Source organism: Homo sapiens, chromosome 12 (genome assembly GCF_000001405.40).
Source record: "Homo sapiens chromosome 12, GRCh38.p14 Primary Assembly".
NCBI classification, from domain to species: domain Eukaryota; kingdom Metazoa; phylum Chordata; class Mammalia; order Primates; family Hominidae; genus Homo; species Homo sapiens.
Window position 1 is genome coordinate 120,071,210 of NC_000012.12, and position 17,302 is coordinate 120,088,511.

At 48.3% G+C, this 17,302-nt stretch overlaps 1 protein-coding gene across 16 annotated transcripts in view, besides 1 other annotated feature; it reads left to right on the forward strand.

Annotated features, from left to right (window-relative positions):
* BICDL1 (BICD family like cargo adaptor 1) overlaps positions 1-17,302 on the forward strand; it is a 105,260-nt gene that overhangs the window by 81,974 nt on the left and 5,984 nt on the right. For 9 of the 16 annotated variants that reach the window (XR_007063143.1, NR_147892.1, XM_006719694.4 and 6 more), the window contains 4 exons: positions 413-592; positions 1,302-1,520; positions 3,234-3,377; positions 9,678-9,808. Coding sequence is in view for 12 of the 16 variants with exons in the window: in XM_006719694.4 (XP_006719757.1) it covers positions 413-592; positions 1,302-1,520; positions 3,234-3,377; positions 9,678-9,808 (674 nt within the window). In the remaining 4 variants the exon portion in view is untranslated. The remainder of the gene's footprint in view (positions 1-412; positions 593-1,301; positions 1,521-3,233; positions 3,378-9,677; positions 9,809-17,302) is intronic. The other 7 variants (NR_147893.1, XM_006719696.4, XM_047429889.1 and 4 more) reach the window with 2 other exon arrangements.
* Positions 16,116-16,195: an enhancer, noted in NCBI's record as "active region_7121". NCBI's record gives its function as "activates an Ori minimal core promoter by ATAC-STARR-seq in GM12878 lymphoblastoid cells {active_cell/tissue: GM12878}" and the evidence as "EXISTENCE:reporter gene assay evidence [ECO:0000049][PMID:35858748]".

A 17,302-nucleotide genomic window follows, 5' to 3' on the forward strand; every position in this document is an offset into this window, starting at 1 on the left:
TTAGCTCATTGCAACGTCCGCCTCCTGGGTTCAAGCGATTCTCCTGCCTCATTCCCCAAGTAGCTGGGATTTCAGGTACCCGCCACCACGCCCAGCTAATTTTTGTATTTTTAGTAGAGGCAGGGTTTCATCATGTTGGCCAGGCTGGTCTCATACTCCTGACCTTAGGTGATCTGCCCGCCTCGGCCTCCCAAAGTGCTGGGATTACAGGGGTGAGCCACCGCGCCCAGTCAGAATTTTCTAGATCTGGATTTTGCTGAGTGCATCTCCTGATGTAGTTTAACATGTTCTTCTCTCCTATTTATTTTTCTATAAATTGGTGGTTGGATCCAGAAGCATGATCAGGTTGAGGGTCAGTTTGTCTTGGTTTTTGTGTTTGGTAAACCTCAACCATTTGCTCTTTCTTTGAAAGCTGCACCAAAGCCAGCTGGAGCTTCAGGAGGTGCGTCTCTCCTGCCGACAGCTGCAGGTGAAGGTGGAAGAACTCACTGAGGAGAGGAGTCTGCAGAGCTCTGCCGCCACCAGCACATCCCTCCTGTCAGAGATCGAGCAGAGCATGGAGGCTGAGGAGCTGGAGCAGGAGCGAGAGCAGGTGCTGACCTGCCTGTCACCCCACAGGCGAGGCTACCTGGGGTTGCTTAGGTCTCATCCTCCTCCCTAGTGCTCAGCTGCCATCCTGGCAAGGCTGTGCCCCTGTGCCTGTGTCAGCCCCTTGGCCTGCTGGCTAGAGTGTCATGAAGCAGGCCCTGATGGAGCATGTCCCTGGCCCTCCATTTTCCACCCACTTTATCCATTAAGGCATTGAGCAGAATTGCTAGAGGACAGAGTATCATAGGCACAGCCAATTCCCACTCATTGTCACCCCAGTTCCTCTTAGGAAATGCTTGTGCCATCAGCTCCATACCTGTTATACTGACAGAGTTCCAGAGCAGTCATGATCCATCTTCTCCATCTAACTGGTTTCTTTTCACACTTTTCATAATACAGAACCATTCATTCCCCTGATTGTTTTCTGACTCCCACCAAAATAACTGATTATATAAAGAAGTGCTTTATATTGTGAATGGAAGAAGCTAGAGAACAGGGAGAATAAGAATTTGGAATCTGTATAAATGTACTTGGTTCAGAATAAGTATTATTTCTTGGGACAAATGAGTTAAAAAAAAAACACAGAACAAAAAACCCTTTCTTCTAGAACTGGTGTCTTGGGTATCAGTATTTTGGGTTCAGAGCTAGAAAAAGATGGCCAGGTAGCAGTCTTCTCTAGAGTCTGAAATGAATAGTAATTCTCTGTGGAACAGCTGAGACTGCAGCTCTGGGAAGCCTACTGCCAGGTTCGCTATCTGTGCTCACACCTTCGAGGCAATGACAGTGCTGACTCAGCCGTCTCCACGGACTCCTCCATGGACGAGTCTTCAGAAACCTCGTCCGCCAAGGATGTGCCAGCCGGCAGCTTGCGCACTGCCCTCAATGAGCTCAAGAGACTGATACAGAGCATTGTGGATGGCATGGAGCCCACGGTAAGAGGCCAGTCTGAGATGGTCCTTACCCCACAGGAGCTGGCTGGTGGGAGGTTAGAACCCAGTGCATAGGGTGAGGTCAGCCATGGAACTGGAACCCTATAAAATATCTGCAAGAATTCTTCTGAGCCCTTATTGGTTGTTTTGGATTTTGTTTTTGAGACAGAGTCTCGCTCTGTTACCCCGGCTGGAGTGAGGTGGCACAATCTCGGCTCACTGCAACCTCTGCCTCTCAGGTTCAAGTGATTCTCGTGCCTCAGCTCCCTGAGTAGCTGGGATTACAGGCGTGCACCACCAACCACACCCAGCTAGTTTTTGCATTTTTAGTAGACACAGGGTTTTACCATGTTGGCCAGGCTAGTTTTAACTCTTGACCTCAAGTGATACACCCATCTCAGCCTCCTAAAGTGCTGGGATTGCAGGCGTGAGCCACCACGCCAGGCCGTGAGCCCTTATTTGAGAACACCAACTACTGCTGTGATGAGGCAGAGGGGCCAAGTGTCAGGGCTCCAAAGGCAGCTTCCTGCACACACCAGGTACACATAGAGCCTTTTTCTCCAGGTAGTGATGTACAGACAATGGCAGCTTCCAGTTTAAGGGCTTTCCTTGGAAACTTTGCATATAGAAGTTTGTATCCAAGTAAAAACTGTAAGTTGCTATTCTATAGCCCTTTGGTCCTAGTGGTAGGGTTAGCTGTGAATTGGCAAAAGTAAAAGATCTGAAGCTTCCGCCAAAAGAATGTAAGTGAGCACAGGAAGTTGGGAAGATCAGCTCTAAGGGCCTTTTAGAATCCTAGATGTGGCCACCTGTGGAGGAGAGGACTGTTCCCGTGGGCATCCTGGGCAGTCTGGCATTTCTTCCAGCTTCATGACACATTTCTCCCCGACTTACCCTCCACTCACGCTCCCAGCTTTTTGGCTATTATTTCTCCTCACGTTTCATCCTCCTACAGAAAACTTGTGTCTTTCTGCCTGTATTGGGTAAAGTAATATGAAGGGTAGCTGTTCTGTCTGACCATGCCGTATTGATCTGTGGGAGGTATTATACTATGAGGCCAGGTCATTGTGGGAGAAGAGAGCTGTCAGAATGTGATGGTGTGCTATTCCCACCACACGGCTTCCTTTCCCCCAAGCCTGAAACAAAAGTGAACATCTGTTTGCAGGTTGAAATTGAGCAATCTCTTTTTTTTGTTTGTTTTTTGTTTTTTTGAGACGGAGTCTCGCTCTGTTGCCCAGGCTGGAGTGCTGTGGCGCCATCTTGGCTCACTGCAACCTCTGCCTCCCGGGTTCACGCCATTCTCCTGCCTCCCAAGTAGCTGGGACTACAGGTGCCCACCACCACACCCGGCTAATTTTTTGTATTTTTAGTAGAGACAGGGTTTCACCGTGTTAGCCAGGATGGTCTCGATCTCCTGACCTCGTGATCTGCTGCCTCGGCCTCCCAAAGTGCTGGGATTACAGCGTGAGCCACTGCGCCCGGCCACAATCTCTCTTCTTGACCCCTTCTTCCTTCCACCTTTTGTCTCTTCCCTCCTCCTTTTCTCCTTCCCTTCATCTTCCCTACTATCTTTCCCCACTATCTTTCCCCACATCATTCCTCCACTCTCCCCCATTTCTCCTCTCCTTCTCTCCCCGACTAACCATCTCTCTCCCCCTTCCCTATCTCTCCTGTACCCTTACCATATCTGTCTGGCTGTCTTTCTTTTACTGTCAGGGCTCCCGGAGACTTGATGATGACTCCTTAGAAGAACAGATAAGGCAGACCAGTGAGGACTCGAGAGCCCTAAGGGAGCTCATGGAGGGAGAGAGGGGTAAACTGAGGCAAAGCCTAGAAGAGCTGCAGCGACTCCACAGTCAGGTGAGCACCCCAACCTTCAGTTCAGTGCAGGGCATGTGCACCTGCCCCTGGCTCTCTTGGGACCCTTTTGAGTTTCTCTCTCCCATTTCTGTGTGAGAAGTGGCTCTCCTTCATCAGATCATCAAGGAATGGTGACCTGAAGTTGAGGTAAACTGAATGTCTTCAAGAGAAGAACCCAGTCCTTTAGCCCAAAGTAAAATTGGCAGGGATGAGAATGGCTGGTCCTCCATTTCCTCCAGTGACACTCTGCCTTATACAGAGCCAAAGTTAATCTGACTGGTAGATGCTGACAGCCCTCGGGCTACTTATGGGTGCTTTTCCAGCAGTTGCTGGGCAGGGAAGTTTGCAAACCAAGGAACAATTGATCTTTACAGCACAGTTCCCTTTTGTAAGTGCCATCACTTCTCTCAGCCTGTTCTTCTGCTTTAGAAGAACTTACTGCTACCCTTGCTGTTCCTTTCTCATTTGATCACGATTTCATCTCTCTAGAGAACGCTGAAGGAAGACATTTATATTCTCATCTGAGAAACTTTAAAGGACTTATAGGCAGCCCCACCCAAAAAGGAGCTTCTAAAACCTATCCTAGGAGATAGATAAAGGCTCTTCCTGTTGACTGTGGTCATGTGTAGAGGTTCTGTGCTGCTTGGGAGTAGGGGCTGGGGTAGCACCAAGCAAGCAGCATCTAAACCTTGCTCCTGCCCCTGTCCTTTCCTGGCTCAAAGCTGTTCACGCCTTGCTGCTGCATGAGGTTTCTTTGAGATGGAATTTAAGCCTGCCTTTCACTTCAGTCAGTATTTCCTCTTTTTTTTTTTTTTTTATTTCTTTTTGAGACAGGGTTTCACTCTTGCCCAGGCTGGAGTATAGTGGCGCAGTCACAGCTCATTGCAGCCTTGACTTCTAGGCTCAAGCAATCCTTCCACCTCAGCTGCCAAAGTAGCTGGGACTACAGGCGTACGCCACCATGCCCAACTAATTTTTTGTAGAGATGAGGGTTCGCCATGTTGCCTAGGCTGGTCTCAAACTCCTGGGCTCAAGAGAACCACTCACCTCAGACTCTCAAAGTGCTGGGATTACAGGTGTGACCCACCACATGTGGCCCCAGTCAGTATTTCCTACATTTGAAATATCTTTATAGAAAGAAACTCCCCTTTTCTGGGAGTCATCCCGTTAGTCTTCCTGATATTTTCTTGGAAAATATCGGGAGACCCACCTCCAGCCATCTACTGTCCTCTTCTTTCTGTGAGTGACCAGATAACAAGGACACAAAGATGCCATTTCAATCTGTGGCTTGGCCAGGCACGGTGGCTCACGCCTGTAATCCCAGCCCTTTGGGAGGCCAAGGCAGGTGGATCACTTGAGATCGGCAGTTCGAGACCAGCCTGGCCAACATGGCGAAACCCCATCTCTACTAAAAATAGAAAAATTAGCCCAGTGTGATGGCACATGCCTATAATCCCAGCTACTTGGGAGGCTGAGGCAGGAGAATTGCTTGAAACCAAGAGGCGGAGGTTGCAATGAGTTGAGATCGTGCCACTACACTTGAGCCTGGATGACAGAGTGAGACTCTGTCTCAAAAAGTTGTAGCTTGCTCACAGCCGAACGCTAGAGACTTGGGTTAGGCAGCCACAGACATTCACCCGCCTGAAACCTAAGTTCTTCAGCGGGTAATTTGGCCAGAGAGTGATTCAGACTCAGAGACAGATCTTCTAAACTGGAAAAATAAAATGCAGGAGAAAGTTGAATCTGTAAGGTCTTTGGATTAATAAAAGTTTTGCTTATTTTAAAGCCTATTTAAATTTCCATAGGGTGCTTCTGTTCATGAGTTCTTTAATATTAACTGGTTTTGTTGTTTTGTTTCTCAGAATTATAAAACTAGAACTCCACAGTGGATGCGGGGGGCATTGTTTTATTCAGAAACATAAGCAAATTGTAGGTTGCCAAGATTCTACTGTAGAATATTTAGGAACCCATTTCCACCTCGAAATTTTTCTTAGAAGTTCAGCTGATAATGGTTTAGGCCAGTTGCTGTGGATTCTCTTTCAAATGGTTCACCAAGTGGAAGGTTGTACTCATGTCCCACGCGGGGTATAGAATTGGACTTCTGTAGGCCATCTCTTCCCAGATGCTCAGTCAAAGCAGAAAACCTCTCAGCCACACCGCACGTAGCAAAGCCACCTCATGGGGAGTAACACTGGCCTCCCAAGGCAGGGGTAGGGTGCAGATTGAGTCCCAGAATGACTGCAGAAATTGCAGCCATCACAGCAGGCATGGCGTTCTGCATGCAAGGTTGGTTCAACATCCACTGACACCCACTGCGTGCCTGGTGCTGCACTAGGCCCTGAGAGGCACCAGATGGATGTGCAGGGCCCCTGCTCTCTAGGACCCCACAGTGCCAAGAGGACAGTCAGAGCCATCTCTGAGCCCTTTTGGGGGCAAGGCCCAGACATGGTTAGGTGGGACTGAGGTTCTAGCACACAGCTCCTGGACTGGGCTCAAACCTCATCTGATGGCTGACCCAGCCTCTGAGCCTGTCACCTGAGAGTGTTCTTTTCTCTCTTGAAAACTAGGCCAGAGGTCAAAGGTGTGGGGGCTGGAAGCCTATCCAAACTTTAAAATAAAGGAAAGCGTAGGTTTAATTTGACCGGTAATTATTTTTTAGAAGCAAAATCCATACCCAGACCCGAAGACTTGCTGGCACCTGTTATTGTGCTTAAGGAACAAAGTCCTTCCTGTGGTGGTGTGCCCCCTCCTACCCCACTCCCATCAGTGGCAAGGAACTGCCTCCTCCTCTGTTCCCCAAGTGGCCCACCCCTCACCTCTGGTGTGTGTGGAGCAGCTGCTAGGATGCAGGGGGGTCTTCTGCGATTAGTCTGTAGAATATGAACACGTTATCGGTGAGGCCCTCAGCCAGTTCTCAGGCCTGTCACCCAGGTGGCAGGAGGCTCAGTTAGAAGCATCCCATTTCTGTTGTTTGGATCCTTCATGCTTGACTCGAGTGCACACTTGTTACTCCAGAAGGGGCATGAACATGCAGAGAGTGCTGGGAGCCTGTGGGCTTCACTCGCCAAATCTGGGTGCCTCTCCTCTGAAATCTCAGCATGGCCATCTCCTCCATCCTCCGTCCTCCTAGCTCCTGCCCTATTTCAAGACCTGCATCCTTTCACACCCTGGCTATGGTCACCACTTCCCAATTTATCTGCCTTCCCCCAGCCCGCCCACCCTCACACGCTTTGGATTGATCTTCCTGAAGCGTGACTTGAAAGTGGGACGCCCCTTACAAGTTCTGGGTGGGTTCCCATTATCAAATAGCAGGAAGCCTTGAGCTGTTGTGGCTGTGCAGTCTGGCTGCATTCCAGCCGCACAGCCTGCGTCCCTCTGGTTTCCCTCTTGCCCCCTTTGCTTTAGCAGAACTGAACATAGGATACAAAGGGCAGTGGCACATGCACCCCATGCTACCCACACCTGGGCCTTCTCCCCAGCTTTCTCTGTGCCCAGAAGGCCTTCTCTCTCACCTGCTCATATCTCCATGCTATTCAGCCTTCAAGTTCCCAATCTAGCATCACTTCCTCCTGAAACCCTCTTGATTCCTTTCCTCATGGAGCACCCCTGTCTCTGTCTTGTCACAGTTACCCTGCTCACATCTCATCTTCTCAGTCAAACCCTAGACCCCATGAGGATGAGCTCAAGGTCTGATCTAGCTGTGTCCTCTCCTAAAGCAGCTAGTACAGTGCCTTGCTGAGAATAAGCACTCAAATGTTGTTGAACAAAAGAGCAAATTAAGCCTTCAATATCTGACTTTTGAATGTTTTCTTTGCTATTTAATTGCGGGGACACCCACCTTATTTGGGAAAAGTGGATTTAGGGGTGGATGTAACCTAAGTCTTTGTATAAACAAGCCAGATCAGTTATCATGACAGCAGTGATTAGGTCCCACCTTGCAGGAGGGAGGAGAGAGTAGAGCTTACAACCACATGCATTGAGCCCTTGATATCATTTATCTCGTAATCCTCAACGACAACTTAGTGGTGAGAAATAGTTATTTTTATTTCCGCTTATTATAAAAAGTATGTATAGCTCAAAGAGGGCAAGTGCCTTGTCACCTCTCCTAAGGCACATGTCTGGTAGGCTGTAACTCGACCAGGTTTTTTAGGCCAAAGCAAAAAGTTCTTCTGAAGTTTCATCTGGAGCATATTAAATGTTGGCTTTTCCTGCCTAGCATATAGTTTTACCTGTCCCTTACTCTGCTGGCAGAATGTCCGACTGGCCCACAGCTGGTCCAAGGCCATGGCAGGGCTCATTTGGCCTAAGAGGAGGTCTGGCTGTCTCTTCCAGGTGCTTTGTAGGTCTTGAGTCCTGGCCTACCAGGCTGCAGAGTCTGCTGCTAAATAGGGGGAGGCTGGGCTCTGCCCTGGTGCCTTGTCTGCCTCGGGGCTAGATGCATGTGTGTGCTGGGTAGCTGCAGGTGCTCCAGCCTGTTCTTCCCCGAGGCTTCCGCCCTCCTCACCCAGCTGTCCCTACCGGAAAAGCTGCTGCTTTGGGCTGTTCTCAGTACAGAGCACCCGGCCCTGATGTTTCCTGCTAGACTCTGCAGAGTATAAAACCCATTGCTTATGGTGGCAACAGATTGTCCTTCTGTCCCTCTTCACTGTTGGGTGTCCTCTGAATTCCTCCAGAGTGGCTGCTACCCCAGGGGCTGGCAGCTCTGCCGTCTCGTTCTGGAGAATGTCTGAAATGTATTGATTTTCAGACACTTCAAGATCAAGGGAAGCTTGATCTTCAGCCTTACACCTGGGGCCTTTGCTCAGTTTCATTCTAGCTGAAGAGGATTAGACCTGGGACTTGAAGAACAGAGGAGTATGCTGAAAGGTGGCATTTGTCCCGTTGTGGGAGGGAGGCAGACCTGTATGGATGGATCCTCCCTTGGAAAAATGTCAAAGTATGTGTAATATTTAACATGAAGGCAGGGCTAGGCATCCTGACTCACGTCTGATCTTATCAACTGAGAAGAAGGGGCTCCCACCCTTTCATTATTCAATAAATATTTATTGAAAGCTCTACCAGGCAGGGTTTCTGGTTGCAAACAGCAAAACATGTACTCTGCTTAATGTAAGCAGAAAGAGAATGTATGAGACCTGAAAGCTTACAGAATCAACAGGAAAGTGGGAGAACCCGGTTCCAAAACAAGAAAGGGCCATGGGAAAAGGGACAACAAACAAACTGCCGCCCTTGTCACTAATTCCTCCCTCGCCTGGGGCTTTGCTGTGCTCAGAGCTGCAGTCCCTGGAAGGGGTTGTAACTGGCAAGTTTGGTCACAGGCCCACGCCCAGACTGCCTGGGAAAGGAAATGTCTATTCCCTGTTGGCTTCTTTAGTTGGAGGTCAAGCCTTGTGTCACACCAAGTCTCACACAACCAGGAGTGCCCCCAAAATGGGAAGAGATTTCGGATGATGACTAGCCAAAAAATGACAATTGTCTACTGCTTTGGGATTAAGCACCCTACACAGCCAGGCTCTGGGATGCACAGATGGATGTGACATGCTTCCTGCCATCACACAGATCATGGTGTACACAGGGTTACCATACTGTGGGGCAGGGTAAGCTGTGGTCCCTGACGGAGCCACTGGAGGGGTGCCTCACTGCCAAAGGTTGACTCCCAGCTGGGGCACAAGGACCTGAGAAGGTGGTGGTGCCCTTTGCTGAAGCATGGGCCACAGAAAAGGTAACAGGTTTGAGGTGGAAGATGATAATGTCACTTAGGTGTCTAAGTTCCCTGTGGCTTTCACCTGGGGAGCTGAATGAGGAACTAAAGCGAGCTGGGCTGTGCCAAGGGCTGTCACGGGGGAGCAGGGACTCCAGCTTTGGAATCATCCAGGGCTCTGTTGATAGCAGCATCCATGTTGAGTGGGAGATGGTGGGAAAGGGAACGGGATTCCCTACCCTAAAAACTGTGTGTCATGATGACTTATGGTCTTCATTCACTTGTTACCTGGAGTGCCTGGAGATGGAGGAGGTAGTATGCCGTGCTGAGTGCAAAGGGAAGATCTGGCCTACGGCTGCAGGTCCAGAGCTAAATTCCCCCCAGCTCCCTTGCTGCCGAGCTCAAGCCTAGCATGTGATGTGGTACCCTTTCTTCAAGAGAGACAGGCCCTCTCTTGAAGCAGGATGGCAGTGGAATGCTACCAGCTTGCACCCCCACACATGTACCCTGGTCCTGCCTGGGGTCTCTTTGTTCCTTTTTCCCTCTTGGAGGGAAAACCACCCAGGACAGCAGCAGTGATACCATATTCATTCTCCTGTTAGGTGACACTGCTGAGTGTGGAGATGACTGCCCTAAAAGAGGAGAGAGACCGACTCAGAGTCACTTCTGAGGACAAGGAGCCAAAGGAGCAGCTTCAGAAGGCCATCAGGGACCGCGACGAGGCCATTGCAAAGTGAGTAGGGATGGCTTCACTTTATTCTTAAGATAAAGTTGAGTATATAGAATTGAGCATATGCTCAATTTTTTAAATTAAATCATACAAAAGAATACAAAGGTAAAAGTTAGTTTCCCCGCTACCCACCCCCACCCCCACCCCCACCCCCATTCCCATTCTCCTCCCCAGACACATGCTGGTATTGAAAGTTAGCTGTGCATTTTTTGCAGCTCTTTTTCTTATGCATATGTAGGTGTGTAGGCAATGTAGTTATTATGTGTTTTTAGACATCAATAGGATGATACTCTACATGTCTTGCCTTTTTGCACTTGTATCTTAAAGAGCTTTCCTTTTTTTTTTTTTTTTTTTGAGACGGAGTTTTGCCCTTCTTGTCCAGGCTGCAGTGCGATGGCGCGATCTCAGCTCCCTGCAACCTCTGCCTCTGGGTTTAAGCGATTCTCCTGTCAGCCTCCCAAGTAGCTGGGATTACAGGTGCCTGCCACCATGCCCAGCTAATTTTTGTATTTTTAGTAGAGACAGGGTTTCACCATATTGGCCAGGCTGGTCTCCAACTCCTGACCTCAGGTGATCTGCCCGCCTTGGCCTCCCAAAGTGCTGAGATTACAGGCGTGAGCCACCACACCCGGCCTCCAGTTTTATCGTATGTATATATCTACCTCACCTTTTTTTTTTAGTTTTTTTGTTGTTTGTTTCTATTTTTTTATTATGGACATTTTCAAGCAAACACAAAAATAGAAGATATAAGATGACTTCATCTCTCAGCCTCAATACTAATTAGCATATGGTCAGTGTTATTTCATCTATATCCTCACCCACTTCCTCCACCTCCCTGTTGGATTATGTTAAATCACAAGACATAGTGTCATCTCCATAAACACTTCAGTATACATCTCTACCAGAAAGAATTAAAAAAAAAAAAAACACAATACAATGATCACACTTGAAAAAAATAATTTCTTAATAATATCAGAATCCAGTTGATGTTAGAATTTCCCCAATTGGCCCATAAATATCTTTTGATAACTGATTTAGAATCAGACTCCGAAGCCTACATATTCCATTTAACTGATGTGTCCCAAAAGTCTGTAACATCTCCTCTTTCTTCTTTTTCATATTACATTTATTTGTTGAAGAAAGTGGATCATTTCTCTCATAGATTTGCTGCATTCTGGGTTTGATTGCATCCCATAGCATCATTTAGCATTTTCCTCTGTCCCTTATATTTCCAATAAACTAGGTCTTTTTTTTTGAAGACAGAGTCTCACTCTGTCACCCAGGCTGGAGTGCAGTGGCATGATCTTGGCTCACTGCAACCTCCCCATCATGGTCTTGAGCGATCCTCCCACCTCAGCCTCCCGAGTAGCTGGGACCTCAGGTACACACTACCACACCTGGCTAATTTTTTGTATTTTTGTTAGAGACGGGGTTTTGCCATGTTGCTAGGGCTGGTCTTAAACCCCTGGGCTCAAGCGATCCTCCTACCTCAGTCTCCCAAAGTCCTGGGATTACAGGCATGAGCCACTGTGCCCAGCCAACTAGGTCTTTTTAAAAATGTTTTGTGTTTTTTTGTTTGTTTGTTTAAGACAGGGTCTCTCTTTGTCACCCAGGCTGGAGTGCAGTGACACAATCATAGCTCACTGCAGCTTCCACCTCCTGGGCTCAAGTGATCTTCCCTCCTCAGCCTCCCAAGTAGCTGTGCCACCATGCCGGGCAGATTTTTGTATTTTTTGTAGATACGGGTTTTCACCATGTTACCCAGGCTGGTCTTGAACTCCTGGGCTCAAGTGATCCACCCACCTTAGCCTCCCAAAGTGCTGAGATTATAGGCGTGAGCTACTGCGCCCAGCCGTGTTTATTTTATTTTACTTTATTTTTTTTGAGAGAAATTCTCACTCTGTCACCCATGCTCACAGCTCACTGCAACCTCCGCCTCTTGGGTTCAAGCTATTCTCGTGCCTCAGCCTCCCGAATAGCTGGGATTACAGGCACACACCACCACGCCTGGCTAAGTTTTGTATTTTTAGTAGAGATGGGGTTTCACCATGTTGGCCAGGCTACTCTCGAACTCCTGGCCTCAAGTGATCTGCCCACCTCGGCCTCCCAAAGTGTTAGGATTACAGGCATGAGCCACCATGCCCAGCCTGGCCACATTTTCTTCATAAACACATTGTCTTACATTCAGAAACTTTGGAAACAAACATATTTACATATCCCCTATTCCCCTGTGAATTACTTTTTATGTATTTATTTTTTTGAGACAGGGTCTTACTCTGCCACCCAGGCTGTAGTATAGTGGCCCAGTCACAGCTAACTGCATCTTTGACCTCCTGGGCTGGAGCAATCCTCTCACCTCTCAGCCTCCCGAGTAGCTGGGACTACAGGTGCACGCCACCACACCTGGCTAGTTTTTGCTTTTGTTTTTTGTAGAGACGAGGTTTTGTCCTGTTGCTCAGGCTGGTCTTGAACTCCTGAGCTCCAGGGATCTGCCCAAAGTGCTGAGATTATAAGCAAGAGCCACGGTGCCCAGCCCCACCCTGTTCAAGGAGTGTGAGGAGATAGTTACCAAAAATGTGTCTACTTTGGGGTCATTTACAAAATATTAATAGTAGTATTTATTTATTTATTTATTTATTTATTTATTTATTTATTTATTTATTGAGATGGAGTCTTGCTCTGTTGCCTAGGCTGGAGAGCAGTGGCACGACCTCGTCTCACTGCAACCCCCACCTCCCAGGTTCGAGCGATTCTCCTGCCTCAGCCAAGTAGCTGGAATTACAGGCATGCGCCCCCATGCTTGGCTAATTTTTCTGTTAGTAGAGACGGGGTTTCAGCATGTTGGTCAAGCTGGTCTCAAACTCCTGACCTCAAGTGATCCACCTGCCTCAGCCTCCCAAAGTACTGGGATTACAGGCGTGAGCCACTGTGCCCAGCCAATAGTAATATTTATACATCACTTTATAGTTTACAAAGCACTTTTATTCTTTTTTTTTTTCTTTTCTTTGAGACGGAGTCTCACTCAGTCACCCAGGTGGAGTGCAGTGGCATGATCTTGGCTCACTGCAAACTCCGCCTCCCAGGTTCAAGCGATTCTCATGCCTCAGCCTCCCGAGTAGCTGGGACTACAGGCATGTGCCACCATGCCCTGCTAATTTTTTGTATTTTTAGTAGAGACAGGGTTTCACCGTGTTAGTCAGGATGGTCTCGATCTCCTGACCTTGTGAACCACCCGCCCTGGCCTCCCAAAGTGCTGGGATTACAGGCATGAGCCACCACACCCGGCCAACACTTTTATTCTTTAATCCTCCCAGCCACAGTAAGAAGTAAAAATTTTTAATCCCAATTTTACAGATGAGGAAACTAAGAAATACTTTGCCAGGGCCACAGCCAGCAGTGACTCATGAGCCTCCACCTCAAGTCTTCTGATTCCCGTCTTCCTGACACCCTTTTCCCTTTGCTACACTGCTACTTGTTGGGAAGCTAAAATGAACTACTTGGAAACAATGTGTAAATAAGATACTGTATGCTTTTGTAAAAAAAATAATATGACACACATTTTAACTTCTGACTTTAAAATTCCTCATACTCAGGCCAGTTGCGGTGGCTCACACCTGTAATCCCAGCACTATGAGAGGCCGAGGCAGGCAGATCACCTAAGGTCAGGAGTTTTGAGGCCAGCCTGGCCAACATGGTGAAAGCCCGTCTCTACTAAAAATACAACAATTAGCCAAGCATGGTGGCAGGCGCCTGTAATCCCAGCTACTCAGGAGGCTGAGGCAGGAGAATCACTTGAACCCGGGAGGCAGAAGTTGTAGTGAGCTGAGATCACGCCATTGCACTCCAGCCTGGGCAACAGAACGGGGACTCTGTCTCAAAAAAAAAAAAAAAAATTACTCATACTCTAACCTCACTTCCACACACACTTTCCCCCTCCCTTCTGTTCTCTTTCATCATTTTCATTATCTCTATTTCCGTTTTACCTTTGGGTCCCCTTTTCTTTCTGGTCAGAACCTCATGTCATGGTGTCTGTCAGTTTCTAGTTCATTTTAGAAATTATTCTTGGTGAATCCCACATAACGATGTATCTTTGCTGCTTGGATTTCCACTATATTTAGTTAATGGATACTTAAGTAACAGTGTGATAAGGCTGGGGTGCAGCGGCTCAGGCCTGCAATCCCAGCGCTTTGGGAGGCTGAGGCAGGTGGATCACTTGAGGTCAGGTGTTCGAGACCAACCTGGCCAACATGGTGAAACCCCATCCCTACCCAAACAAAAAAAAAAGAAGTAGCCAGGTTGGAGGATCACAAATTCAGGAGGCGGAGGTTGCAGTAAGCCAAGATTGCACCACTGCCCTCCAGCTTGGGTGACAGAGTGAGGCCCTATCTCAAAAAAAAGTAACAGTGTGATAGAGGAGGCAGCATACCTTTATGAATAACAGTGAAATTGTGTGATGGAATAAAATGGTAAAATGAAGATGCTTATCGTGGAAGTCCACTAGAAATCAAAAGCAGAAGGAGGCCAGGCAAGGGCGCCTGTAATCCTAGCACTTTGGGAGGCCAAAATGGGAGGATTGCTTGAGCCTAGGGGTTCAAGACCAGCCTGGGGAACATAATGAGACCCTGTCTCTACTAAAAATACAAATAAAAAATTAGCTGAGTGTGGTGGTACATTCTTGGAGTCGCAGAGGTGGGAGGATCACTTGAGCCCAGAAGGTTGAGGCTGCAGTGAGCTGTGATCATGCCACTGCACTCCAGCCTGGATGACAGAGCAAGATCCTGCCTCAAAAAAAAAAAAAAAAAAAAAAGGCAGAATGAAGATAGAAGTACACATGGGTTGGTTACCTTCTCTCAGACAAGAAGCTGAACATTAAGATCATATTCTGTCATCAGCATGGAAGGTGGGATGGAAGGTGGGGGATACAAACAGAGAAAGTGTCAGGGTGCAGGAGAGAAGAAGCAAGTTGTCCAGTCTTTCTCCCTTTAAAAAAAAAAAAAAAAAAAAGTAAAACCTAGCTCTGCCACCTGGGTGAGCAAATCTACATGAAACCTTGTAATGCATGCTCTTGCCTGCTTTCAAAGGAGGCCCAGTTACTATCCAGGAGTCTGATTAGACTTGCAAATTCTCCCCTCTGGAAGGATGCCCCCAGTAGGGAGAACTCTGGAGCAAGGGTCCTGTCCTTCCTGGACTCCTATAGAACAGGGCTGGCTGGGCAGTTAGGTTACTCTGGGAGGATAGTTCTTTTCCCATACCTTAGAAATGAATTTTTGTTATACAAGAATTGAGACGACAAGCCTAAGGAATCATTTAAAGAGGAAACCACACCCCCCATTTGTATAGTAACTTAGTTTTACCAGATACTTCTTCCATATACGTTATCTCTGATTCTCCATCCTGGCCGCACATTACAATCATCTGGGGAGCGCTCAGACACCAGGAACCTCACCAGAACAATACAGTTGAAATCACGGGGTGGGGTCAGTTGGGTGGGGCCCACTTCTTTCCCCCTTGATTTTAATGTGTAGTCAGGGGTGAGAATCCCTAAGAAATATAACTTCCTTCTCGTCACTGGGCTGCAGAAACCTTAAGGTGCACCTTCTCCTATACAATAAATGAGTTTCAGGAAAATTAAGTAGCAATTTTTTTATCTCCTTGCAGGTGAAGGGCCTTCACTAAAACCAAAAATAAATCTTGGGCTAGCAATCTGCCTTACAAAAACAAGTCAGTTACTAGTGGTTTCATTTGTAAAAAGGAATTATTCGAGCCCTTGGAATATTCCTATTTTTAAAATGTGATTAATGTGTTGATCCTGGTCTGGGGTTTCCCATGAATGACGAGCACTTATTCCTTGGTGAGCAAATGTCCCAACGGTGCAGCGCGTGGCCAGGATTGGAGGTCGTCCAGGCAGCCCCTGCCTCAGGGCGTTTTTTGGCAAGGAAGGGAACCCCACCATGCCCGGCGCTGCGCCGCGGCTGTAGCCCTGGGCCCATCTGTCCCTCGCCGGCAACGTTAGTCAGCACATTCCTGGGGCTCCCGCTGCTCTCGGCGCCACCTGCCGGGGGACGCCGGAAGCTCAGGAGGCTGTGGCTGTCGTGGGGCACCACGGGTTCTGACGCTACTGGAGGGGTGTCCATGGCAACCGATGCCGCGTGAGGATTTCCGCTGTTTGCTGCCAGCCAATAGCAGTGGGTGTGACGGAGGCAGCCTTCGGCATCTGAGCCCTCAGCATCCATTAGACGGGCTCGGGTCCCGTCGCTGCCGCAGTGGGCGGGGCTGACGCGGTGGCTGAGCTGTCTGGAGCGGTTTCTCTAGGGAAGGCAGGCGGGCCGGCGGGCGGGGCGCACTTGCGGTGTCGGCACAGGTGACTAATTGCTCGGTAGACCTGAAGCCAAAGAAGAAGTGCTGGTCGCAGCAGTGGCCTGAGCACTTTGCAAGTGGGATCCACCTGTTCCTTTTTCTGGCCGCACTTCGGTTAGTGCGGTCGGTGTTGTGAAGCTCGAGCTAGGCGGCCTCTGCAGGCGGATCCTCTAGCTGCCCTTGAGCCCTGCACATTAGTCGCTGGCCCTGTACAAGGAGCATGCTTTTGTTAGCTTTGCTGTTTTGAGTGCTTAAGGGAGCGATTAATGAAGGCAAGGGCTAAATAATACACGTTTCTGCAGTTGGGCAACCAGGGCTGCCTCTGCAGAGGTCCTTCCACCTTTATTCCCGTTCCCCTGCCCTCGAAAAAAATTAATTTTCTTTTGCATTGAACAGCCGTGATTTAGGAATGTTGGGAAAGGTGAACAAAGTAATACGTGAAACACAAATGTGAAAATAAAAAAATGCAAAATAATGTCGGAGGAGTTACCCATCAGTAATCATCACCCAGAGATAACCAACTAGACATTTTTGTGCATATCCTTGAACACACAGGCAGTTTTTTGTTTTGTTTTGAGACAGAGTTTCGCTCTTGTTGCCCAGGCTGGAGTGCAGTGGCGTGATCTTGGCTCACTGTAACCTCCGCCTCCTGGATTCAAGTGATCTCCTACCTCAGCCTCCTGAGTAGCTGGGATTACAGGCAGCATGCGCCACCACGCCCGGCAAATTTTTGTATTTTTAGTAGAGGCGGGGTTTCTCCTTGTTGGTCAGGCTGGTCTCGAACTCCCAACCTCAGGTGATCCGCCCACCTTGGCCTCCCAAAGTGCTGGGGATTAGAGGCGTGAGCCACAGCACCCTGCGGACACAGGCAGTTTTTGTTTTACAAAACTAGTATTATACTAGACCTTGTTTTCTGGTGCTTTTTCCACTCAGCAATATGTTATGAACTGTCAATAAATATTCTACCTCATGGTTTTTTGTGGGGTTTTGTTTTTATTTTTTTGAGACGGAGTCTTGCTCTATTGCCCAGGCTGGAGTGCAGTGGCACAATCTGGGCTCACTGCAAGCTCCACCTCCCAGGTTCAAGCGATTCTCCTGCCTCAGCCTCCCGAGTAGCTGGGATTACAGGCACCTGCCACC